Source organism: Homo sapiens, chromosome 21 (genome assembly GCF_000001405.40).
Source record: "Homo sapiens chromosome 21, GRCh38.p14 Primary Assembly".
NCBI lineage: Eukaryota > Metazoa > Chordata > Mammalia > Primates > Hominidae > Homo > Homo sapiens.
The window spans coordinates 14,623,050-14,650,673 of NC_000021.9; the positions used below are offsets into that span (position 1 = coordinate 14,623,050).

Sequence of the window (27,624 nt, forward strand, 5' to 3'; positions counted from 1 at the left end):
CTTTACAGACAAGCAAATGCTGAGAGAATTTGTCACCACCAGGCCTGCCCTACAAGAGCTCCTAAGGAAGCACTAAACATGGAAAGGAACAACCAGTACCAGCCACTGCAAAAACATGACAAATTGTAAAGACCATCAATGCTAGGAAGAAACTGCATCAACTAACGAGAAAAATAAACAGCTAACATCATAATGGCAGGATCAAATTCACACATAACAATATTAACCTTAAATGTAAATGGGTTAAATGCTCCAATTAAAAGACACAGACTGGCAAATTGGATAAAGAGTCAAGACCCATCAGCGTCAGTGTGCTGTATTCAGGAGACCCATCTCACGTGCAGAGACACACATAGGCTCAAAATAAAGGGATGGAAGAAGATCTACCAAGAAAATGGAAAACAAAAAAAGGCAGGGGTTGCAATCCTAGTCTCTGATAAAACAGACTTTAAGCCAACAAAGATCGAAAGAGACAAAGAAGACCATTACATAATAGTAAAGGGATCAATTCAACAAGAAGAACTAACTATCCTAAATATATATGGACCCAAAACAGAAGCACCCAGATTCATAAAGCAAGTCCTTAGAGACCTACAAGGAGACTTAGACTCCCACACAATAATAATGGGAGACTTTAACACCTCACTGTCAACATTAGACAGATCAACAAGATGGAAAGTTCACAAGGATATCCAGGAATTGAACTCAGCTCTGCACCAAGCGGGCCTAATAGACATCTACAGAACTCTCCACCCCAATTCAACAGAATATACATTCTTTTCAGCACCACACCACACCTATTCCAAAACTGACCACATAGTTAGAAGTAAAGCACTCCTCAGCAAATGTAAAAGAAAAGAAATTATAACAAACTGTCTCTCAGACCACAGAGCAATCAAACTAGAACTCAGGATTAAGAAACTCACTCAAAACTGCTCAACTACATGGAAACTGAACAACCTGCTCTTGAATGACTACTGGGTACACAACGAAATGAAGGCAAAAAGAAAGATGTTCTTTGAAACCAATGAGAACAAAGACACAACATACCAGAATCTCTGGGACACATTTAAAGAAATGTATAGAGGGAAATTTATAGCACTAAATGCCCACAAGAGAAAGCAGGGAAGATCTAAAATCAACACCCTAACACCACAATTAAAAGAACTAGAGAATCAAGAGCAAACACATTCAAAAGCTAGCAGAAGGCAAGAAATAACTAAGATCAGAGCAGAACTGAAGGAGATAGAGACACAAAAAACCCTTCAAAAAATCAATGAATGCAGGAGCTGTTTTTTTGAAAAGATCAACAAAATTGATAGACTGGTAGCAAGACTAATAAAGAAGAAAAGAGAGAAGAATAAAATAGACACAATAAGAAATGATAAAGGGGATATCATCACCAATCCCACAGTAATACAAACTACCATCAGAGAATACTATAAACACCTCTACGCAAATAAACTACAAAATCTAGAAGAAATGGATAAATTCCTGGACACATACACCCTCCCAAGACTAAACCAGGAAGAATGTGAATCCCTGAATAGACCAATCACAGGCTCTGAAATTGAGGCCATAATTAATAGCCTACCAACCAAAAAAAGTCCAGGACCAGATGGATTCACAGCCAAATACTAACAGAGGTAAAAGGAGGAGCTGGTACCATTCCTTCTGAAACTATTCCAATCAACAGAAAAAGAGGGAATCCTCCCTAACTCATTTTATGAGGCCAGCATCATCCTGATACCAAAGCCGGGAAGAGACACAACCAAAAAAGAGAATTTTAGACCAATATCCTTGATGAACATCGATGTAAAAATCCTCAATAAAATAGTGGCAAACCGAATCCAGTAGCCCATCAAAAAGCTTATCCACCATGATCAAGTGGGCTTTGTCCCTGGGATGCAAGGCTGGTTCAACATACATGAGTCAATAAACATAATCCAGCATATAAACAGAACCAACGACAAAAACCACATGATTACCTCAATAGATGCAGAAAAGGCCTTTGACAAGATTCAACTGCCCTTCATGCTAAAAACTCTCAATAAATTAGGTATTGATGGGATGTATCTCAAAATAATAAGAGCTATCTATGACAAACCCACAGCCAATATCATACTGAATGGGCAAAAACTGGACGCATTCCCTTTGAAAACTGGCACAAGACAGGGATGCCCTCTTTCACCACTCCTATTCAACATAGCGTTGGAAGTTCTGGCCAGGGCAATCAAGCAGGAGAAAGAAATACAGGGTATTCAATTAGGAAAAGAGGAAGTCAAATTGTCCCTGTTTGCAGATGACATGATTGTATATTTAGAAAGCCCCATAGTCTCAGCCCTAAATCTCCTTAAGCTGATAAGCAACTTCAGCCAAGTCTCAGGATACAAAATCAATGTACAAAAATCACAAGCATTCTTATACACTAATAACAGACAAACAGAGAGCCAAATCATGAGTGAACTCCCATTCACAATTGCTTCAAAGAGAACAAAATACCTAGGAATCCAACTTACCAGGGATGTGAAAGACCTCTTCAAGGAGAACTGCAAACCACTGCTCAATGAGATAAAAGAGGACATAAACAAGTGGAAGATAATTCCATGCTCATGGATAGGAAGAATCAGTATTGTGAAAATGGCCACACTGCCCAAAGTAATTTACAGATTCAATGCCATCCCCATCAAGCTACCAATGACTTTCTTCACAGAATTGGAAAAAACTACTTTAAAGTTCATATGGAACCAAACAAGAGCCTGCATTGCCAGGACAATCCTAAGCCAAAAGAACAAAGCTGGAGGCATCACGCTACCTGACTTCAAACTATACTACAAGGCTACAGTAACCAAAACAGCATGGTACTGGTACTAAAACAGAGATATAGACCAATGGAACAGAACTGAGACCTCTGAAATAATAACACACATCTACAATCAACTGATCTTTGACAAACCTGACAAAAACAAGCAATGGGGAGAGGATTCCCTATTTAATAAATGGTGCTGGGAATACTGGCTAGTCATATGTAGAAAGTTGAAACTGGATCCCTTCTTTACACCTTATACAAAAATTACTTCAAGATGGATTAAAGACTTACATGTCAGACCTAAAACCATAAAAACCCTAGAAGAAAACCTAGGCATTACCATTCAGGACATAGGCATGGGCAAGGACTTCATGTCTAAAATACCAAAAGCAATGGCAACAAAAGCCAAAATTGACAACTGGGATCTAATTAAACTAAAGAGCTTTTGCACAGCAAAAGAAACTACCATCAGAGTGAACAGGCAACCTATAGAGTGGGAGAAAATTTTTGCAATCTACTCATCTGACAAAGGGCTAATATCCAGAATCTACAAAGAACTCAAACAAACTTACAAGAAAGAAACAAACAACCCCATCAAAAAGTGAACAAAGGATATGAACAGACACTTCTCAAAAGAAGACATTTATGCAGCCAAAAGACACATGAAAAAATGCTCATCACTGGCCATCAGAGAAATGCAAATCAAAACCACAATGAGATACCATCTCACACCAGTTAGAATGGTGATCATTAAAAAGTCAGGAAACAACAGGGGCTGTAGAGGATGTGGAGAAATAGGAACACTTTTACACTGTTGGTGGGACTGTAAACTAGTTCAACCATTGTGGAAGACAGTGTGGCGATTCCTCAGGGATCTAGAACTAGAAATTCCATTTGAGCCAGCCATCCCATTACTGGGTATATACCCAAAGGATTATAAATCATGCTGCTATAAAGACACATGCACACGTATGTTTATTGTGGCACTATTCACAATAGCAAAGACTTGGAACCAACCCAAATGTCCATCAATGATAGACTGGATTAAGAAAATATGGCACATATACACCATGGAATACTATGCAGCCATAAAAAATGATGAGTTCATGTCCTTTGTAGGGACATGAATGAAGCTGGAAACCATCATTCTCAGCTAACTATCACAAAGAGAAAAAACCAAACACTGCATGTTCTCACTCATAGGTGGGAATTGAACAATGAGAACACATGGACACAGGGTGAGGAACATCACACACTGGGGCCTGTCATGGGGTGGGGGTAGGGGGAAGGGATAGCATTAGGAGATATACCTAATGTAAATGATGAGTTAATGGGTGCAGCACACCAATATGGCACATGTATACATATGTAACAAACCTGCACGTTGTGCACATGTACCCTAGAACTTAAAGTATAATGAAAAAAAAAGCAATATAAACACCAGGAGAGCTTGATAAGACTTGGAGCTAATGTTAGGTGCATAAATGCATATACCCCAATAAAAGTCATATAAACATTTAGTCTTCCAAAATTTTTCACCAAATTTTACTTCCTCATAGACTCCTGGAAAACAAAAGGACTCTCTTGTTCTCTGAATACTCTCCATCCTTGCCTCAATTTAGATATGCTCAAGATGGAAGCACTCAGAGTGTGACTTGATCTGACTCCAAACTGATCTAGAATTGAAGGCTGTTAGGAAGACTATTCTCACACATACTTGTACTTTGAAAGGTGGTTCTACAAATTGTCTGGAGGCCCATGGCCAATATCAACAGGGTTTTGTGAGGAAAGAGATCCCCCTAGTAGCAGTGAGCATTGTCATGCACAGCATGAATGCTCAATAAATGTACTAAATTGAACTAAAATTTTTAACAAATATGAGGATACACTAACATCAAATCAAAAACAAAAAAAAGTAAAATGATGCTGCGAGCTTCTCAGGGCATAATTAATAGAAAGCTATTTCATATTATCTTCTTAAGGCTAAAGGAAGCATTTTGGGAGTTAACTACGAGGATAAGTGATTCTAGGAAATGTGATACAGAAAAGGGGTTTGTGTTCCTGAGACTTCTCCCTTGTCTGGGGAGCACCATTTCTCCTTCCATGTTGAATATCCTCACCCAAAAAGTGAGACAAAGTTTGCTCTAGTCCAGCAATAGACAGGATGGTACCAGGAGCTGAAATTATTTTTATAGTAATAGAAAGAAATTTCTGCAATAAGACTTAAAAATATCAATTAAAACAAAGACAAATATACACGATGAAACACAACAGCATCCAATCAATGGGATAGGAGATTAAAATCATTTCATTAAAGGTTACAAATTATGCTGGATAGAAAGAATAACTTCTAGTGTTCCATAGAACTATAGGATGATTAACAATAATATATTATAGTTTCAAATAGCTAAAATAAGGATGTTGAGTGTTACCAACCCAAAGAAATGATATTTGAGATGATGGACGTGCTACTTACTCTGATCTGATCACTATACATGATATATATTGAAATACCACTGTATACTCCCCAAATATGTACAATTATTGTGTCAACTAAAATATGAAATAATAAAATAAAACAATTTTAAAATTAAAAAAAGAAAAAGTTCATAGACTAATTTTTCAGTGTATCTAAGGCAATCAGAGAGATGAAAAAATATATATTGAGCTACCAACTGTATTTTCAAAACGAGAAGATTTATGTGACTGGTAACAAGTCATCACAAATGTGAAAAAGTCCTACTGCCTTCCTCCATACCTGATTGCAAATGAATGGAAAAATTCCAGTGACAGAAAAGTCTCCCAAGTTATGAATGAGATCACTTTGGCAAAGGGGAATGTTGGTAAATGTCAGAGCCCAGTCAGTTAAAAAGCAAGTTACTAAGAATGACAAGGATAAAATCCTATCCTTTTTGTGATTTCTTGATTTTACACATTTGCAGAATAATAACGGTGGAATACATACAGTATCAAGCATAGTTCTAAATGCTTTTTGTGTAGTAATTAATTTAATCCTCACAACAATCTGTAGGGTTGATACTATTACAATTAACCTCAATTTATAGGTAAATTTATAGATGGGTAAACAGAGGCACAGAGCAGTCAACATTCTTGCCTAAGCTCACACAACTAGTAAGTGATAAAACTAGGGTTTTGTGCGTGGTGTCTTCACTACTACCTGATACTACTTCTATGCTTGACGGCATAGATCCAAAATCTACTGATCATCTAGGTCAGAAATTTCACAAAGAAGCACTATTAGCCAGAAGGGAGATTAGCTACAAAAATGCAGAGAAATGTAATACCACATGTCACTACTAAATAACTCAGAAAGAACACCCTTCTTCAAGCCCTAATACTAATAATTTAGTACTATTTGAAGACAAGTGTGTAAACAGCACACTGATGTGTTTTAAAGGTATTAATTATTTTGTAGCTGCCATCATCATCATCAAAGAATGCCCAGCAATTTATGACAGCACAGTTAATTAAAAGCGGACACTTCAGGAACCAATGAATTTAGATGACAGTCTGTGCATTAGAGAGCCCCCTCAGCATATTACTGTAATAATGTTATGGTTCTCAGGGAAAACAGATTTTATCCTCCTGTGAGAATAAAATGAAGAAGGAAAAGCTACAATCAGCTCTTTCTGATGGGAAAAGTAAGGCTTGCTTGCCAGCCTGTCCAGCTCCTGTCTTCAAGAAACAACCCCATACAGCTAGTGAATTCTGCTTTCTCTAAGAGGGTGGTGTACAGCATCCACACACAGCCTCTCATCGCAGGGCAGGTCCTGTAGCTTATAGCGCCTGGAGAATGCACGGGGCCATAATCCATCAGGAAGAGGGCTGGTAAATTGCACGAACTTTGCCATTTGTCTACTAGTGTGCGAAGAGAGCTTTATATCAATCCTAAAGCAACAAACTCTTCTCAGAGCACTATAAATATCCAGGATGGCAAAACAGGTTACCTAGGGGATGGTTATTTGCATTATAAAAGATTCCTCCTTTGCAAAAAGATTCCCTTCCAGATGTCTTAAAACAGAGGTCTCTTAAGTGTCCTTAAATGTGATTTATAAAATTATATTTACACAAGGTTTTAGAAAGGGAAAGAACAACTAATGTTTATTAAGTGCCATGTTTCCTGCCACTTATTATCTTCTTTAATCTTCATAGCCACAAATGAAACAAGAGCAAGCCAAGCAAACTTGCAAAAAAATGTGATAGGAAATCCGATGGGTAAAAATGTCAAATTCCATCTTTGCAATGGAAAAGCACTGAACTGGTACCCCAGAACCTGGCTTGCTCTCCCAGGGCTGCTACTAAACTGGACAAGACCCAGGAACCCACCCACAGCTCAATCAGGTGTCCATGTATAAAACGAAGGCTGATGAACAGGAACTTTAAAATCCCTTTCTGTAGAAACAATCCATGCTTCCTGATCTATAGTAGTTCGGTCCAATGTCAGTAGTGATGACAAATGCTTTTAAGAGAAAATTAAAGTAGGAATGGGCTTTTTTGCTTTACAGCTTTTTTTTTTTTTAGAGATGATTAAAGAGATAACCATGGCTTTCATCAGATTCAATTAGTAGTTCTCCTGTAAGCCTAGGAAATAAAAAAAAGAACAGAGCACAATTAACCTTCATCTATTGATTTCATTTTATTTTAACATAAGTCTCTATTTACGGGACGAAACCAATTAAAACTACCAAAAGGTGTTCATATGTGAATTGGTGGCAGAAGAACAGCTGTATGTAATCATAGATATAACAGGAAACAATAAAAATGAAAGAAAAGTGCAGTCTTTTTAGTCAACGTAATCTGTGTTTTACATATTGGCTTGTTATGAGTCATTACACAATCTCAAAGTCAAGGAAAAGATTACGTGCACTGTTTTGACATTGACTCCTCTTGTCCATAGTTTGATGAAGACCTAGCTGATGGATGCCATTGTTAATCTCATTTTCTTCCTTTAGTGTCTATGTTATTAATAGCTATGTCAATGTTGATGATAATATAAGACAGAACAAAAAACTCTCAATTTTAATAGTTTAAGCCAAGTAAGAAATGCAGTTAAGTGGTTAGAATACCAACTTGGGAGTCACCTACTTTGACTTCTCCATTACTCACCTATTCTAAGATGACATGTCACCTTTCAATGTGTCCATTTACCCATTTATAAGACACTAGACTCTAAGTGGTTTTTTAAGACCTTTTGTGAAAGGTTCTGGGACACTGTGCAGTGACAACATCTTAAACACCTCTCTTTCATCATTTTTAACTCTATTTCTTCCTTTTTAAGCTAAGCTTAAATCTCATGTTCTCCATGGGACTTGTACCATTAAACTACGAACCACAGTTATGTACTTAGAGTTAACACCTGCTATTGATCATTTACCTTGTCCCAGACTTCCTGCTAATAGTATAAAATACATTGTCACTTTTTATTCTCACCTGATAATTAAGAGGTAACAAATAGTTTTCTCATTTTATAGGAGAAGAAACAAGGGCTTAAAGAGTTTAAAGAACTTGTCCAAGGTGGGATTTGTTTGTTTGTTTGTTTTTTTCTTTGAAACAGAGTCTTGCTCCATCACCCAGGCTTTCTGGGTTCAAGCGATTCTCCTGCCTCAGCCTTCCGAGTAGCTGGGATTACAGGTGCCCACCACCACACCCGGCAATTTTTTGTATTTTTAATAGAGACAGGGTTCACCATATTGGCCAGACTGGTCTCAAACTCCTGACTTCGTGATCTGCCCACCTCCACCTCCCAAAGTGCTGGGATTACAGGCGTAAGCCACCATGCCCCACCCAAGATGGGATTTTTATAATGTTTGTTTGACTTCCTCCCCCCAATTTTGTGCTTCTAATTACTGTATTGCATTATTTTTAGGAATTCCTCCTGGGGATTCTTACAGATGTTAGGCTTGATACTTATAAATCAGAATTTAATCACCATTACTTATGTTACTCTCTAGATATTTTGAATATATATTTTCTTGCTGAAGTGGACATCTGTCTTTCATTGATCTGAAAATCAATGTGTAGAAGAAGGAATAAGAAGAGGAAGAGAAGAAAAAAGAGAAGTAGGAAGAAGGAAGGAAGGAAGGAAGGAAGGGAAGGAAAAAAACTCATCTAACTTCTCTTGCTACTAGAATAAGATATGCTGTTTAGGTCACATCTATCACAGATGCTAACTTAAGACACTGATACAAAACCTGACTAACACAGGGAAACAGCAAGGTGTGTGCATCTATTTTTAATGTCACAAACTTCAGTGGAGAGAGTGGTTCTGGATCCAGCCATTGTGGTAGTAGCTGCTTGATTTGGCCACTTCCTAACTGTGATAGAAGCAGCAGCAATCTTTGGTGGCTGGTTTATACTGTGCCTTCTCGGTGTAATCCCTGCAAACTTAGAGTATGTGTTTTGAGTTCCCAATAATTCTGGGCTCTCTATAACCTGTAGTATATTCCTTTCTGCTTAAATTGACTAGCATTCATTTGTATATCTGCAAATAACCCTGATCAGTATCTTGTCACATTAATTTTAGTTCCCGTATTAGTTATGTATTGTGCAACAATAAATTGTGCACAAATTTATACAAATAATTGTGTATTATTTGTATAATTGTAATACAAATAATTGCATTTGCATAATTGTATTTGTATAATTATTTGTATAATTGTAATACAAATAATATTGTAATACAAATAATTGTGTATTATTTATTGTGCAACAGTAAATTGTGCAACAAATTACTCCCAAATTTAATGGCTTAAAAAATACATGTTTATTATCTCAGAGTTTCTGTGGGTTAAGAATATGGGCCTGACTTAGATGGGTTCTCTGTTCCATGGTCACTCACAGGATTGTAATCAACTGTGGGCCCAAAGGTTTAAGGTTTCATCTGAAGGTTCAGCTAGGGAAAGGATTCTCCTTTAATTTTACTCAGTGATTGTTGGCAGCATTCAATTTCCTGAAGGCTGTTGGGCTGGAGGCCTTACTTTATTGTTGGCTATAGACTGAATGCCTTTCCTAGTTCCTTATCATGCAGGTCTCTTCCACATGGAATCTGGCTTCATTATAGTGTGCAAAACAAGAAGGCAACAGAGGCAGTCTGCTAGCCCGTCTTTTGTACCCTAATCACAAAAGTGACTTCCTGTCACCTTTGCCCTACTCTATTGGAATCAAGTAACATGCAAGGATGAAGATTACACAAGGACATAAATACCAAAAGTCAGATGTTATGGTTAATTTATTTTATGTGTCAACATGGCTAGGCCACAGTACCCAGATATTTAGTGAAACACCAGTCTAGATGTTGCTCTCTCTCTCTCTCTCTCTACACACACACACATACACACACACAGACACCATGCACACCCTATTACTTCTGTTTCTCTAGAGAACCCTGATTAATACAGTGGTGTTCACTGAGGTCCTTTTAAAATTTTGCCTTCTGCACTACCAAAAGGAAAGTAATAGAGTTTAATGTTGGACAACGCTCCACTCCAGAAAAATCTTAAATGTATTTATGGAGCCATTTTAGTGCAGCATGGGGCCTTAAAAAACATCTGGTCTAACTCTGTTAGTTTATAGAGGTAAAAACTGGGTTCTGGATTGGGTAATGACTTAATCAAGTTCTATTTAGGAACCAAGCCAGAAGGAGAACTCAGTTTTCCATTTTAATGCTCTTACTATTGTCTGATAAGTTATCCCAAGTTGAAAGTGGAGAATTATGCCTGGTGGCCTAATATGATTATAGTAGAGGAAAATCTTCATGGACAAATGGAGCAGGGTAGTTCTACCCTTCAGTTGTTCTTCCCATAATGGGCAATGGTTTTGTGCTGGTGCCCTCTATCCTTCAGCCGAGACTCCCTAATGGTCAATAGCGTGCATATCCAAGTCAGCTATCTGAGGTCATGGATGCTGCCTTTGGCTATGAAATAGAACAAAACTAACTAGCCATGAGGGGATTAACTCCTGACCTTGGCCTCATTAGTGCTGAGCTCTAACCAACTGTTGGACACATATCATATTGTTTGTCTTTAAAACTATGCTTGAATCTGCTATATTACTTTCTCATTAATATCTAGTAGCTGGGAATAATTTAATGGATTTTTCCAGTGCTTTTTATCAGTACAAAATGCTGATGAGTAAGTGTATAAAAAATTAAACTTGATTTTTAAAATATTTAATTTTATTATTATCATTATCCCTATTTTACAAACGGTGCTGGGAAAACTGGCTAGCCATATGCAGAAAACTGAAACTGGACCCCTTCCTTATACCTTATACAAAAATTAACTCAAGATGGATTAAAGACTTAAATTTAAAACCCAAAACTATAAAAAAAACCCTAGAAGAAAACGTAGGCAATACCATTCAGGACGTAGGTACAGGAAAAGATTTTACGATGAAATCACCAAAAGCAATTGCAACAAAAGCTAAAATTGACAAATGGGATCTAATTAAACTAAAGAGCTTCTGCACAGAAAAAGAAACTATCATCAGAATGAACAGGCAATCTACAGAATGGGAGAAAATTTTTGCAATCTACCATGTGACAAAGGTCTAGTATCCAGAATTTACAAGGAACTTAAACAAATTTCCAAGAAAAAAAAATAAACAGCCCCATCAAAAAGTAGGCAAAGGAGATGAACAGATACTTCTCAAAAGAAGACATTTATGCAGCCAACAAACATGAAGAAAGGCTCAACATCACTGATCATTAGAGAAATGCAAATCAAAACCACAATGAGATACCATCTCACACCAGTCAGATGGTGATTATTAAAAAGTCAAGAAAAAACAGATGCTGGCGAGGATGTGGAGAAATAGAAAGGTTTTTACACTGTTAGTGGGAATGTGAATCAGTTCATCCACTGTGGAAGACAGTGTGGTGATACCTCAAGGATCTGGAACCAGAAATACCATTTGACCCGGAAATACAATTTGACCCATATATCCCGTTACTGGGTATATACCCAAAGGAATATAAATCATTCTGTTATAAAGATACATGGACACTTACGTTTATTACAGCACTATTCACAATAGCAAAGACATGGAACCAACCTAAATGTCCATCAATGATAGACTGGAAAAGAAAATGTGGTACATATACACCATGAAATACTATGTGGCCATAAAGAGGAATGAGATCATGTCCTTTGCAGGGACATGGGTGAAGCTGGAAGCCATTATCCTCAGCAAACTAACACAGGAACAGAAGACCAAACATCACATGTTCTCACTCATAAGTGGGAGTTGAACAATGAGAACACATGGACACAGGGAGGGGAACAACACACACCAGGGACTGTTAGGGGGCAATGACGAGGGGAGGGATAGCATTAGGACAAACACCTAATGTATGCGGGGCTTAAAACTTAGATGATGGGTTGATAGGTGCTGCAAAACACCATGACACGCATATACCTATGTAACAACCCTGCATGTCCTGCACATGTATCCCAGAACTTAAAGTGAAAAAAATTTAAAAGGAAAAGAAAACCCTGAAATATGAATTAGTAGGTGAAAAAATACCACTATAATAGATGTTCTTGTTTACAGCTGTCTACATTTGGTGGGAAATCTAAGGCTGAGTTGTCAAACACTCCACTATACCTAGGTGTCTGAGGCAATTTGTGGAGATTAAAATCTTGGGTTTTCTAATGCGCATCAACAGTAAATCCTGTTGCTTCTTCTTGTCCAGTAAAAATCAATACTTTTAGATAAGAAGCATTGATTGCAAATTATTTTAAGCAGTTATTTTAAAATAACATCCAAGATTAAGTGAGAGTTTGACTTAAAGTCATTTAATCAAGGATACTAAATTAAAAGATTACTCTGCCCGGGTGTGGTGGTTTGCAGAAGGAAAGGCAATGATCATTAACATGCACCATGCCAGGTGCTTAAAGAGGGTTACAACAACATTTGATGCTCGCTGCAAACCAAGAGACAGAATTTATTATTATTATTATTATTATACTTCAAGTTCTAGGGTACATGTGCACAACGTTGTATACATGTGCCATGTTGGTTTGCTGCACCCATCAGCTCATCATTTACATTTGGTATTTCTCCTAATGCTATCCCTCCCCCAGTCCCCCACCCCACAACAGGCCCTGGTGTGTGATGTTCCCTGCCCTGTGTCCAAGTGTTCTCATTGTTTAATTCCCACCTATGAGTGAGAACATGCAGTGTTTTGGATTTCTGCAAGAGACATAAATTTTTATTCATATTCTATTGCTCAGAAAACTTAGGGTCAGAGAAATTCAATCACATTCCCAAAGACACCGTTCCCAGTCTGAGAGCAGAAATAAAATGTAAGTCTATTCACCCATCTCAAGTTCTTTTCACTGTGTTCTCTAGATATCAGAACATATTTAGCACATGTATTATAAGGTTGGGTTATTTTTCCTACCATCGTTCCCTCTTCCTCACTTCTCATCTCCCAAAAAGACACTCTTCTAATCAACCCCTCTTAATCTCTCTCACTCTTGTGTACACGTGCATGCACATAACTCCTCACCCCACTGCCACCGCACACACTTGTGGCAGAGAGACCAAAAAACAGGACTACTACTTGGGATCCAGAACTCCAGCCTAGACTCCATCTGTCACTGCAGTCAAGTCACTAATCTCATCTTCCTCATTGGTAAATGGATGTGTTTCCTATAATTTTATCTCTAAGGATATAACTGGCCAGGCATGGTGGCTCAAGCTTGTAATACCAGCACTTTAGGAGGTCGAGGCAGGCGGATCACGAGGTAACAAGATCAGGAGATTGAGACCATCCTGGCCAACATGGTGAAACCCTGTCTCTATTAAAATACAAAAAATTAGCTGGGCATGGTGGCACGCACCTGTAGTCCCAGCTACTCGGGAGGCTGAGGCGGTGGCGGGGTTGGGGGTGGAATTGCTTGAACCCTGGGGGTGGAGCTTGCAGTGAGCCAAGATCCTGCCACTGCACTCCAGCCTGGGCGACAGAGCGAGATTCCGTCTCAAAAAAACAAACAAAAAAAAGTGTATAACTGTTTATTATCAAGTATTGTTATACTTTAACATCTGTGCTCTTTCAAAAAGTTTATAACTAATTGCCTATCATCAAACATTTTTATACTTTAACATCTATACTTCCCTAAGTGAAGAGGAGAATTGATATTATCTGGTTACTTTTATGCCTCTGCGCCATCAGCAATTTCAAGCCTTCAATCCTACCTTGTCCAATATGGCAGCCATCCATAGTCTCAAGTGGCTATTGAGTGCTTAATATGTGGCTGATACAACTTAGGAAGTGAATTTTAATTTAATTTAATTTTAATTTTAATTTAAAACCAAAGGTGAGATTTTTTTCGCTGGGACTGATTGCACTTAAACCATTGAAGTTTCAGCATCGAACTGAAATGTGCTCTTAACTATAAAATACACATCAGATTTCAAAGTGTTAGTTTAGAAACAAGCATACAAAAATCTCATTAATTTTATACTGATTACATGTTGAAATGATAATACTTTAGCTATATTGGCTTAATTCAATATGTTATTAAAATTAATTTAACCTGTCTCTCTTTTTAAAACAGTTTATTTTGACAACTAGAATAACTAAAATGTGTGAGTCACGTTATATTTCTAATGGACAGGACTGCTGTAATTGTCTTTTAGCAATGTAATAGGTCCAAGATGGGGTTTGGGTATCTGTTTGTCTTCAGGTAATCCTTCAATTCAGCTGCTATTGAGAATGACTGCCAGAAGTTGCAGCAAAGATTTTGTGTATCAACTCCCTTGTGATTTATTCTCTAAAATAATGTGATTGAATAATCTTGCTTGTTTTGGTCATCAGTCTGTATCTTAACTGAAAAAAAAAAGGTCTTAATCTATTAACAGTTTACAGGACCCAAGTATTGCAGAGGGGTTGTTATATCCAACTCATTTTAAATGTTACCATAAAGCTGTGCCTGGGGCCGGCTTAACACAAATTATATTCTCTAGAGACAAAAGATAGCCACCTTCTGAAAGCCAGCCATCCTTCACGTACACTGCAAAGGAGTTCCAGTGGTGAGATGGCACTGTTTGTGTGTGTGTGTGTTTTGGTTTGAGTGTAGTGACACCAATTATGATAAGGATTAAAGATCCTGGGAGGGGAGAGTGGTGGACATAGTAGACTTCCCCTTAACATTCCCCCACCTACCTTCTGGTGTGTCTTTCTCTTTGCAAAAACCAGAAGACTAAAAACCACATTATATACATTCCCGCAAAGCTTGGATAGCAGATATGATTTAGACTTGGCAGATTATACGAATCCTTGTGAAATTTGGAAAGTGGGATGTGAAAGTGGAGGCCACATCCGGTAGCCATGTTAAAGGAAATGAGCAAAATTTCCTTTTTACCTAAAATATATCAAATATTATCACTTCATCAAATCATCATTACAAAATTATTAATAACCTATGTTTTACTCATTTTTTATATGAAGTCTGTAAAACATATTATATATTTTACACTTATTGTCCATCTGCATTTGGACTAGTCACTTTTCAAGTACTCAATTGCCACCTGTGGTTGTACAGTGTAGCTCTAGGGCAGGGGTTAGCAAACTTTTTCTGTGAAAATCAGATAGAAATATTTTAGGTTTGTGAGACACAGTTTCTATTGCATTCTACTGTCTCCTTTATTTTTGTTTCTGTTTTTAAATATACTTTTAAAAATATAAAAGCTATTTTTAGCTCGTGCATGATACAATTACGGGCTGCCTAAGGCTATGATTTTCAGTCCCTACTGTAGAGTGAAAATCAGCCCTTCTGAGCGTTCTCTAACTTCTATGCTAAATCCTGCCTGCTTCTAGTAGCAAGAGTAGATTCTGTTTTCCACAGTTGAATTTGGCAAATTTATACGGAACATTATTCACCTTGTTCTACAGTGTAAGGAAATAGAGACTGCAAGACTTGAAGCAACTTTCCAAGGTCATATAGCTTCTAAGTGACAGAGCTAGAAAGAGAATCCACAACTGCTCAAATCCAAAGCTGACAATTTTATCCGCTGCATCATTGGCTCTCCATTATTATTAAGACTTTCTTTAGCTTGAGTAATGAACCTTCACTGATCCATTTATTTAGCTGACAAATATTTATTGAATGACCACTATGCAGAAGATATGAATAATAGGAACAATGCCTTTGACCCACATTTAAGCACATTTTTTAAAAGGCTCAAGTTTTCTATTAATTTATGAGATACAAAATGAAGTGGAAAATTGACAATTATTTGCTTACTTCAGTCAATATAGACAGCAAGTCAGATAATTCAGGCTTGATCCAGTTAGCCCCAAATTGGCAGAGATACAAACATTTTATGTTCTCTGTCTTAATCTGTTTTGTGTTGCTGTAACAGAATACCTGAGACTGGGTAATTTATAGCAAACAGGAATTTACTGGCTCACAGTTCTGGAAGCTGAGAAGTCCAAGACAGAGGGGCCACATCTCGTGAGGACCTTCTTCCTGTGTCACTCCATGGCAGAAAGCAAAAGGGCAAAAGAGGGCAAAACAAAGAAAACAAGAGAGGGCCAAACTTGGCTTTTATAACAAACCCACTCTTGATTACAAACTCACTCTCATGATAACGACATTAATCCATTTGTAAGATTAGAGCTTTCATGATCTATTAATCTCTTCTTAAAAGTCCCACCTGTCAATATGATTGCACTGGGGATTAAATTTCCAACACATGAACTTTAGGAGAGACATCCAAACCATAGCATTCTCACTCTTTTTCTAATTCAAATACTTTGTGAGCTTCAGACATAAGGAGATACTAAAATAGATACAGAATCAAGCAGTTACAGGCTACATTTAAAATAACATTATGGAGTGATCAGTCCTTAGGCTAATATGTTAGTTTTTTTTTCAGCGCATTTACTTAGCCGCATGCTTGTTCACTCCCGCTAGTTTTTGGCCGTTGTCCTCCAATACTTTATGCCTTTCCTAATATACTGCAAGTGGATCACCTATTATTTCTCTTTTAAACATTTAATAATGTCCTATATCTTAAATTGGTTTCTCTTTGGACGAGCTATCCATTATCAACCTTCCTGAAAGTGCAATTAAAATACAAACTAGGCATTTACGATGATGTATGATATTCTTCATTTAAAACCCCCAAATAAACCTCTTTCTGTTCAATGCCTCTACCCCATAATTATACATATGAACTACACTGGATCATCTCCTTTGAGAATATTGATGATCTTATGTTCATCTATGGAACTCCCACTATGTTCAAAGCAGTGATATCCAAAGGGTGAAATTCCTAGTAAGTATGAATAAATAATATATTTCATAAGGGAAGCCAAAAGCCAAGGATTCTTCTCTCATTTTGATTTTCCTTTTTCAATTCATGTGGCAACTGACATTATTTTTATTATGGGCTATAGTTTCCTCCGTAACAAATAGTTGTATTGTCAGTTTGGTTCTAGAGATTTTGGGAGTAACTCTCTTCTCTGGAAAGGTTACAAATACCCGGATTGAGGACTGGAAGCTTGAGCCATAACTCCATTAGCTTTCAGAGTATTTCAGGGTGATTTCAGAGTATTTCTGAGGAACCAGTCCAAATGGAATAATATTTTTTTCTGGTACTGTTAAGTCTGGTCCGAAACTTTTTTTCCTTACATCAAGATGGGGGAAGGAAGTGCCAATACCAGGAGAAAAAGAAAAAAATCTATTCTTCAAAAGCTGAGAAAGAAATATAGGAAAGCTCCAAACCATTAACTGGGGATACTAAGAAAGCAGGTACTTAAAATACCTTGATTTAATTATTTAAAAAATTAACTTTATTCATCTAAGCTGTGAAATAATTTTCATTCGGAATATAATAAGTATTAATAATACTTTGATGGGAATGACATAATTCAACAACTAAAAAGTGAAATTGAGGGTTGAACTGACTTTTCAGTATGCCTGTATACATACATACATGTTTGTATGTATACATATATTTTTAATTAAATGCTGAGAAATTACAGAGAAAGACAGAGCTATAGCAATTTAAATCATGTTTTTATCATTCTCGTCTTCTTTTGCAATATAAATGAAGTTTGAAAAAATTTTAGTCGACTAGTTGGCCATGAAATGGTTTGGTTTTTATGCATATTTACTTAAATGTGTGAGACATTTAAAAAAATATCTTCAGGCTCTTCAGCCTATTCAATTTTTCTTTTTAATTGTGGGGTGAAAATGCTTATGAACAATTTGCATTGTCAATTGACAGCCTCCATGTGAATGGTTTATATCTCTCACACTAATATGTGCAAAATATTATTGCCCCCTCTTATGCATATCTAGCAACACCAACATCTTAGAGACATTAAAAAAGGTGTAAAGGTAAGGGAAGAGTTTCCACTGCATTGAAAAATATTTTTGTATTATTTTTATGTTACTGAGACTTATTATTAAACTTGCTTTCTAACATTGCTTTCTAATTGCTCCAAGCTTTCAAAAAACCAAAACTTTGAAAGCTATGATAATAAGCCATTTTTAATGCACCCAAAGAACAAAATAGGTATATGTGAAGGTAAGCGCAAAACTTAAAAGTAATTTGTTGTTACCCTTTCTCTAAAGCACAAAAGATCTGAGTTTGTATCCTGGTGCATCCTCTCTTTGAGTGGGCAAGTTATTTAACCTTTTCAACATTTCTAAATCTCTCTAAAATTGTTGTGAGAATAAACATAAATAATTTCATGTATACATCTATTACCTTACAAAAATAAGGCACTGAATAAATGATCATTATTATTTTTTGTGTTATCAGGAAAAGTGTGATTTTAAGAACAGGAAGTGGCATCTAAATCTGTAAGTATATGGAAGTTCTTTATCTGTAGTAGACATAGGCTGGTTTATATTGTCCTAAGCCACAACAAAAGTAAAAGAAGTTTATATGTATTAAATTATAGTTGACCCTTTAACAACATGGAGGTTAGGGTTGCTGACACCCCATGTAGTCCAAAATTTTCATATAACTTTTGACTCCCTAAAAACTTTACTAATAGTCTACTATTGACTGGAAGACTTACTGATAACATAAATAGTCAATCGATACACATGTTGTATGTTATATGTATTATATACTGTGTTCTTACAAGTAAGTAAGCTAGAGAAAAGAAAATGTTAATAAGAACATGAGCAAGAGAAAATACATTTATTATTCAGTAAGTGGAAGTGGATCATCATAAAGGTCTTTATTCCTGTCATCTTCACATTGAGTAGGCTGAGGAGGACGAGGAATAGGAGCAGTTGTGGCGAAAGAAAATCTGTGTATAAGTGGACCTGCACAGCTTGAACCCATGTTGTTCAAGGGTTGACTGTATTTTAAAGACAGATCAATTGCACAAGAGTTAGAATAGCCAGCACTGTTAAACAGGGACAGGTACAATTTTGTATAATGCAGAGAACTCTATCTCTAGTAATTTTAAAGATAATTCACAGAACAATTTGCATTTGCCAGTTTGTAACACTTACCTTTTACAAATGATGGTGTGTATCCATAAATTCAGGAAACAGTTTATTACAGTGGTTAGAGCATAAACTTTGAAAGCAGCCAGTGATGTGTCAGAATCAGCACTTGAGATAATTATTAACTAAATATTCAGATACTGCAAACCTGTAGTTAAACTATGGGTAGCTTGAAATTGGCCATGGTGGAGCATTTACACTGTGGAAATTGACAAACGCATAAATCTAGGTCTCCCTCACAACCACCACCTGATTTGCCAGAAACTACTGATTCAGATATGTATCTGTTTAAATGCCAACTTTAACACTTAATAGTTTATAGCCTTTAGTATCTTATCTTGCCTTTCTTTCTCGCAACTTCCAAATCTAGAAAATGATATAATTATTTATAGTCATAAGGTTGCTTTGAGGATTGTGTTAACTTATATAATCATCTAGTGCACATTCAATAAATGGTGGTTCATATTAATAAGCCAAAATCATAAAAAAGACAACAAGAAAGAGAAAAGCAGAAACTAAAGGAAAAGGAATAACTTTCTGAGAACAGTGAATTTTTGCTGTATTAATAAGTATCATTAGGCAAGAGATTCTAGAACTATAATAGAGAAAAAAAAATCCACTCCAGTCAATGCTTCACTCACCACGAAGAGATTGTTTGGTGTTTGTTCACTCTCTCCAAAGGGTGGGATAGGAGAATCAGTTCTACTAGACATGTTTTCTTGGTTAGCTTGTTGCTCTGGGATTGGCTCATATAAGCTATCCATAGAGCCCTCCTGCAATACAGAGATTTATGAGTCAAGGAATAACAGAATAATAATTTTCCTTTAAAAGGTACCTAATTTATACACCCACCTTTATATAGTACTTTATTTAAATTATCCTGGGCATAGGGATTAAGAGTTTACAGTATGCTAACTTTCAACAGTGAACAATACAGTAAAGCCAGGAATTATTACACAGCCAGGAATTACTATTACCACCATTATTACAGAGCCAAGAATTTAAACAAGAGTTTAAGTGTTGCAGAGGCAGGCACACAATGAGGGAATTCCTCAAGAGGTATGTTGAAGACATTAAGCTCAAAAAACTAAATAAATGCCTTTTGAGACACCAATAAACTGTGTTGGTTACAGATTTGAGTTACATGTATGTCTCTAATTGGTACCACCTCCCTTTATAAGAAATACAGTCTGCTCTACTTAGCTTTCTCAACTGTAAAGTAGCAGTTTCAATGGCAGAGGAGGCGAAGTAAGATGGCAGAATAGAAAGCTCCACTGATCGTTTCTCCACAATAAGGACACCAAGTTAACAACTATCTACACAGAAAAACAACACCCTCATAAGAATCAAAATTCAGGTGAGCACTCATAGTACCTGGTTTTAACATCAAATCACTAAAAGAGGCACTGAAGAGATAGAAAAAACAGTCCCGAATCTCCGACGCCACTCCTCCCCTACCGTGGCACCTGCGGCCTGGTGTGGAGAGCATCTCTGGGATCTGGGGAAGGGAGAACACAGCCATCGTGCGGCATTGAACTTAGTGCTGTCCTGTTAGAGAAGAAAGAAAACCCAGACCAAACTCAGCTGATGCCCAGCCATAGAGGGAGCATTTAAACGAGCCCTGGCCAGAAGGGAATCTCTGATCCCAATGGTCCAAGGTTGAGTGCCTGCAAACCTTGCCGCCCAGGGCTGCAGCACTCTGTGTCTCCAGTAAACTTGAAAGGCAGTCTAGAACACAAGGACTGCAACTCCTATGTGTGTCTCAGTGTGAACTAAGCCCAGAGACAGTAGACTGAGGGGGCATGTAACACACTGAGACACCGGTTGGGGCAGCCAAGGGAGTGCAGGCATCACCCTGCCCCTAACCCTAGGCTGCATATCTTGAGGCTCCAAAAGAGACCCCTTCCTTCTGCTTGAGGAGAGACGGAAGTGTAGGGAGGCCTTTGTCTTGCATCGAGGGTACCAGCTCAGCCATAGCATAATAGGGCACTGATAAGAGTCATGAGGTACCCCCCTTCCGGGCCCTAGCTCCCAGATGACATTTCTAGGCAACCTTGGGCCAGAAGGAAACCGCTGCCCTGAAGGAAAGGGTTCAGTCCTGGCAGTATTCATTACCTGCTAACCGAAGAGCCCTTGGGCCCTGAATAGCCAGCAGTGATACCCAGGTACTACATCAAGGGCCTTGGGAAAGCCTCTGAGACTTAGTGGCTTTAGATGAGACTCAGCACATTACTAGCTGTGGTGGCTACAGAGGAAAACTTCTGTTTGAGAAAAGCAGAGGGAAATGCAAAGGGGACTTTATCTTGCACTTTAGGTACCAGCACAGCCACATGGGGGTAGAGCACTGACTGGGCTCTTGTAATCTCTTATTCCAGGACTGTATGCTTGGATGGCATTTCTGGACATGCCCTGGGCCAGAGGGGAGTCCAGTGCCCTGCAGGGTAAATCCCAGGCCAGGTAGCATTCACAAAAAGCTGACTTAAGAGACCTTGGGCCTTAAGAGAGCATCTGTGGTAGTCTAGCAGTACTCCTTGTACCTAGGGTGGTATGGCTACAGAGTGAGGCTCCTCTGTCTTTAAAAACTGGAGAGAAGAGTGGGAAGGCTGGTGTGGTTTGAGTGCCAGCTCAGCTGTAATACAATAACACCAGGTAGACTTCTAATGTTTTAGACTCTAATCCCTGACTCCTGGACTGCACTTCTGGACTCACCCAGGGCCTGGGGGCCTTCAGTGCCCTGAAGGGAAGCACAGAGGCATGACAGGATTTGCCACCTGCTGACTGTAGAGCCTGAGCGCTTTGAGTGAACACAGGCAGTAGCCAGGGAGTGGTTACAGCAGGCCTTGGGCAAGACCCAGTGTTGTGCTGGCTTCAGGTCTGACCCAGCACAGTCACAGCAGTGGTAGCCACAGGGGTGCCAGTGTCATTCCACTTCCAGCTTTCAGTAACTCATAACACAGAGAGAGACTCTGTATGTTTGGGAGAAAGTAATAAAAGAGAACAAGAGTCTCTGACTGGTCATCCAGGGAGTTCTCCCATATCTGGTCGAAAACCATCAATGAGGTACTTTGAGTCTGCAAGAACCACAGTGCTACTGGGCTTGGGATATCCCCTAAAGCAGATACAGCTTAGATTACAAAACACAAGTCCTTTCAAATATCTGGAAAGCCTCCTCAAGAGGGACAGCTACAAATAATCCAAGACAGTGAAGACTAGAATAAATACTTAACTCCTTAATGCCCACACACCGAAGAACATCTACTAGCATCAACACCATCCAGAAAAACAGGACCTCACCAACTAAACTAAATAAGGCACCAGGGACCAATCCTGGAGAAAGAGATATGTGACCTTTCAGATAATTTGAAATAGATGTGTTGAGGAAACTCAAAAGAAATTCAAAATAACACGGATAAGGAATTCAGAATTCTATCCAATAAATTAACAAATAAACTGAAATGATTAAAAAGAATCAAGCAGAAATCCTGGAACTGAAAAATGCAATTGGCACACTGAAGAATGCATCAGAGTCCTTTAATAGCAGAATGTATAAGCAGAAGAAAGAATTAGTGAGCCTAAAGACAGCTATTTTAAAATACACAGTCAGAGGAGACAAAAGAAAAAAGAACAAAAAACAACGTAGCGCAACTACAGGATCTAGAAAATTGCCTCAAAAGGGCAAATCTAAGAGTTATTGGCCTTAAAGAGGACGTAGATAAAGAGATAGGGATAGAAAGTTTATTCAAAAGGATAATAACAGAGAACTTCCCAAACCTAGAGAAAGATATCAGTAGCCAAGTACAAGAAGGTTATAGAACACCAAGCAGATTTAACCCTAGGAAGACTACCTCAAGGTATTTAATAATCAAATCCCAACTATCAAGGATAAAGAAAGAATTCTAAAAGCCACAAGAGAAAAGAAACAAATAACATACAATTGAGCGCCTATATGTCCGGCAACAGACTTTTCAGTGGAAACCTTACAGGCCAGGAGAGAGTAGCATGACATATTTAAAGTGCTTAAGGAAAATAATTTTTACCCCAGAATAATGTATCTGGTGAAAATATCTTTCAAACATAAAGAAATAAAGACTTTCCCAGGCATACAAAAGCTGAGGGATTTCAAGAACGCCAGGTCAGTCCTATAAGAAATGCTAAAGGGAGTACTTCAATCAGAAAGAAAAGGACAGTAATGAGCAATAAATAATCACCTGAAGGTACAAAACTCACTGGTAATAGTAAGTACACAGACATATACAGAATATTATAACACTGTAACTGTGGTGTGTAAAATAATCTTAAGTAGGAAGATTAAAGAATGAACCAATGAAAGATAATAACTACAACAGCTTTTCAAGACACTGTCAGTACAATAAGACATAAATAGAAGCAATGAAAAGTTAAAAAGCAGGGAGACAAAGTTAATGTATAGAGTTTTAATTAGTTTTCTTTTTGCTTGTTTGTTTGTGCAAATAGTGTTAAGTTGTCAGCAGGTTAAAATAATGAGTCATAATATTTGCAAACCTCATGGTAAACTCAAACCAAAAAACATACAATGAATATACAAGAATTAAAAAGCAAGAAACTAAACCATGTCTCCAGACAAAGTCACCTTCACTAGACAAAGACAGGAAGGAGAGAAAGAAGGAAGATAAGACCATAAAACAACCCGAAAACAAGTAATAAATGGCAAGAGTAAGTCCTTAATTATCAATAATAACATTGAATGTAAATGAACTAAAATCTCCAATCAAAAGACATAGACTGGCTGCATGAATGAAAAAACATAACCCATCAATCTGTTGCCTGCAAGAAACACACTTCAACTATAAAAGCACATATATATGGCTAGCCAGTTTTCCCAGCACCATTTATTAAATAGGGAATCCTTTCCCCATTGCTTGTTTTTCTCAGGTTTGTCAAAGATCAGATAGTTGTAGATATGCGACATTATTTCTGAGGGCTCTGTTCTGTTCCATTGATCTATATCTCTGTTTTGGTACCAGTACCATGCTGTTTTGGTTACTGCAGCCTTGTAGTATAGTTTGAAGTCAGGTAGTGTGATGCCTCCAGCTTTGTTCTTTTGGCTTAGGATTGACTTGGCAATGTGGGCTCTTTTTTGGTTCCCTATGAACTTTAAAGTAGTTTTTTCCAATTCTGTGAAGAAAGGCATTGGTAGCTTGATGGGGATGGCATTAAATCTGTAAATTACCTTGGGCAGTATGGCCATTTTCACGATATTGATTCTTCCTAACCATGAGCATGGAATGTTCTTCCATTTGTTTGTGTCCTCTTTTATTTCCTTGAGCATTGGTTTGTAGTTCTCCTTGAAGAGGTCCTTCACATCCCTTGTAAGTTGGATTCCTAGGTATTTTATTCTCTTTGAAGCAATTGTGAATGGGAGTTCACTCATGATTTGGCTCTCTGTTTGTCTGTTGTTGGTGTATAAGAATGCTTGTGATTTTTGTACATTGATTTTGTATCCTGAGACTTTGCTGAAGTTGCTTATCAGCTTAAGGAGATTTTGGGCTGAGACAATGGAGTTTTCTAGATATACAATCATGTCGTCTGCGAACAGGGACAATTTGACTTCCTCTTTTCCTAATTGAATACCCTTTATTTCCTTCTCCTGCCTAATTGCCCTGGCCAGAACTTCCAACACTATGTTGAATAGGAGTGGTGAGAGAGGGCATCCCTGTCTTGTGCCAGTTTTCAAAGGGAATGCTTCCAGTTTTTGCCCATTCAGTATGATATTGGCTGTGGGTTTGTCATAGATAGCTCTTATTATTTTGAAATACATCCCATCAATACCTAATTTATTGAGAGTTTTTAGCATGAAGGGAAAACTGGCTAGCCATATGTAGAAAGCTGAAACTGGATCCCTTCCTTACACCTTATCCAAAAATCAATTCAAGATGGATTAAAGACTTAAACGTTAGACCTAAAACCATAAAAACCCTAGAAGAAAACCTAGGCATTACCATTCAGAACATAGGCATGGGCAAGGACTTCATGTCTAAAACACCAAAAGCAATGGCAACAAAAGCCAAAATTGACAAATGGGATCTAATTAAACTAAAGAGCTTCTGCACAGCAAAAGAAACTACCATCAGAGTAAACAGGCAACCTAAAAAATGGGAGAAAATTTTCACAACCTACTCATCTGACAAAGGGCTAATATCCAGAATCTACAATGAACTCAAACAAATTTACAAGAATAAAACAAACAACCCCATCAAAAAGTGGGCAAAGGATATGAACAGACACTTCTCAAAAGAAGACATTTATGCAGCCAAAAAACACATGAAAAAATGCTCATCATCACTGGCCATCAGAGAAATGCAAATCAAAACCACAATGAGATACCATCTCACACCAGTTAGAATGGCGATCATTAAAAAGTCAGGAAACAACAGGTGCTGGAGAGGATGTGGAGAAATAGGAACACTTTTACACTGTGGGTGGGACTGTAAACTAGTTCAACCATTGTGGAAGTCAGTGTGGTGATTCCTCAGGGATCTAGAACTAGAAATACCATTTGACCCAGCCATCCCATTACTGGGTATATACCCAAAGGACTATAAATCATGCTGCTATAAAGACACATGCACACGTATGTTTATTGCGGCATTATTCACAATAGCAAAGACTTGGAACCAACCCAAATGCCCAACAATGATGGACTGGATTAAGAAAATGTGGCACATATACACCATGGAATACTATGCAGCCATAAAAAAGGATGAGTTCATGTCCTTTGTAGGGACATGGATGAAATTGGAAATCATCATTGTCAGTAAAAACTATCACAAGAACAAAAAACCCAACACAGCATATTCTCACTCATAGGTGGGAATTGCACAATGAGATCACATGGACACAGGAAGGGGAACATCATACTCTGGGGACTGTTGTGGGGTGGGGGGAGGGGGGGAGGGATAGCATTGGGAGATATACCTAATGCTAGATGACGAGTTAGTGGGTGCAGCGCACCAGCATGGCACATGTATACATATGTAACTAACCTGCACATTGTGCACATGTACCCTAAAACTTAAAGTATAACAATAAAAGAAAAAATTTTAAAAAAAGTTATGAAAAAAATAAATTAATTAAAGCACATACAGACTGGCTGGGTGCAGTGGGTCACATCTGTGATCCCAGCACTTTGAAAGGCCAAGGTGGATGGATCACCTGAGGTCACGAGTTTCAGACCAGTCTGAAAAACCTGGTTAAACCCCATGTCTACTAAAAATACAAAAATTAGCCAGGTGTGATGGCACACACCTGTAATCCCAGCTACTCAGGAGGCTGAGGTAGGAGAATCTCTTGAACCCAGGAGGCGGACATTGCAGTGAGCCAAGATCATACCACTGCACTCCAGGCTGGGTGACGGAGTGAGACACTGTCTCAAAACACACACACACACACACACACACACACACACACACACACACACAGAAAGAGAGAAAATGAAGGGATGGAAAAAGATATTCTATGCCAATGAAAACCAAAAAAGAACAGAAGTCACTAAACTTATATCAGATAAAATAGATTTCAACACAAAATCTATAAGAAGAGACAAAGAAGGTCACTATTTAATGATAAAGGGATCAATTCAGCAAGATGATATAAACATTTTGAATATATATATGCACCCAACACTGGAGTACTCAGGCATATAAAGGAAACATTTTTAGAGATAAAGAGGGATAGGACCAAATACAATAATAGCTAGAGACTTTAACATCCCATTTTCAGCTTAGAAAAGATCTTCCAGACAGAAAATCAACAAAGAAACATCAGACTGAATCTTCACTATAGAGTAAATTGATCTAATAGATATTTACAGAACATTTCAGCCAAAAGCTGCAGAATACTCATTCTTTTCCCTAGAAAGTGGATCATTCTCAAGAATACAACATATGTAAAACAAAAAAGTCTTAAAACATTAAATAAGTTGAAATAATATCAAGCATCTTCTCTTACCACAATGGAATAAAACCAGAAACTAATAAGAATAGGAATTTTGGAAACTATACAACATGGAAATTAAACAATATGCTCCTGAGTGACCAGTGGTCAATGAAGAGATTAAGAAGGAAATTGGAAAATTTCTTGAAAGAAATGATAACAGAAACACAACATACCAAAACCTATGGGATACACCAAAGGCAGTACTAAGAGGGAAGTTTATAGCAATAAATGACTACATCAAAAAAGATGAATAACTGCAAATGAACAACCCAACAATGCATCCTAAGGAACTAGAAAAGTAAGAGCAAACCAAACCCCAAATTAGTAGAAGAAACAAAA

The 27,624-nt window shown here is 37.7% G+C and overlaps 1 protein-coding gene across 3 annotated transcripts in view; it reads right to left on the reverse strand.

Moving 5' to 3' along the window:
- The window catches only part of SAMSN1 (SAM domain, SH3 domain and nuclear localization signals 1), a 174,190-nt gene that overhangs the window by 137,822 nt on the left and 8,744 nt on the right, over positions 1 to 27,624 (reverse strand). For all 3 annotated transcript variants that reach the window (NM_001395858.1, NM_001395857.1, NM_001256579.3), the window contains one exon: positions 19,953 to 20,084. In NM_001395858.1, the coding sequence (NP_001382787.1) occupies positions 19,953 to 20,084 (132 nt within the window). The remainder of the gene's footprint in view (positions 1 to 19,952; positions 20,085 to 27,624) is intronic.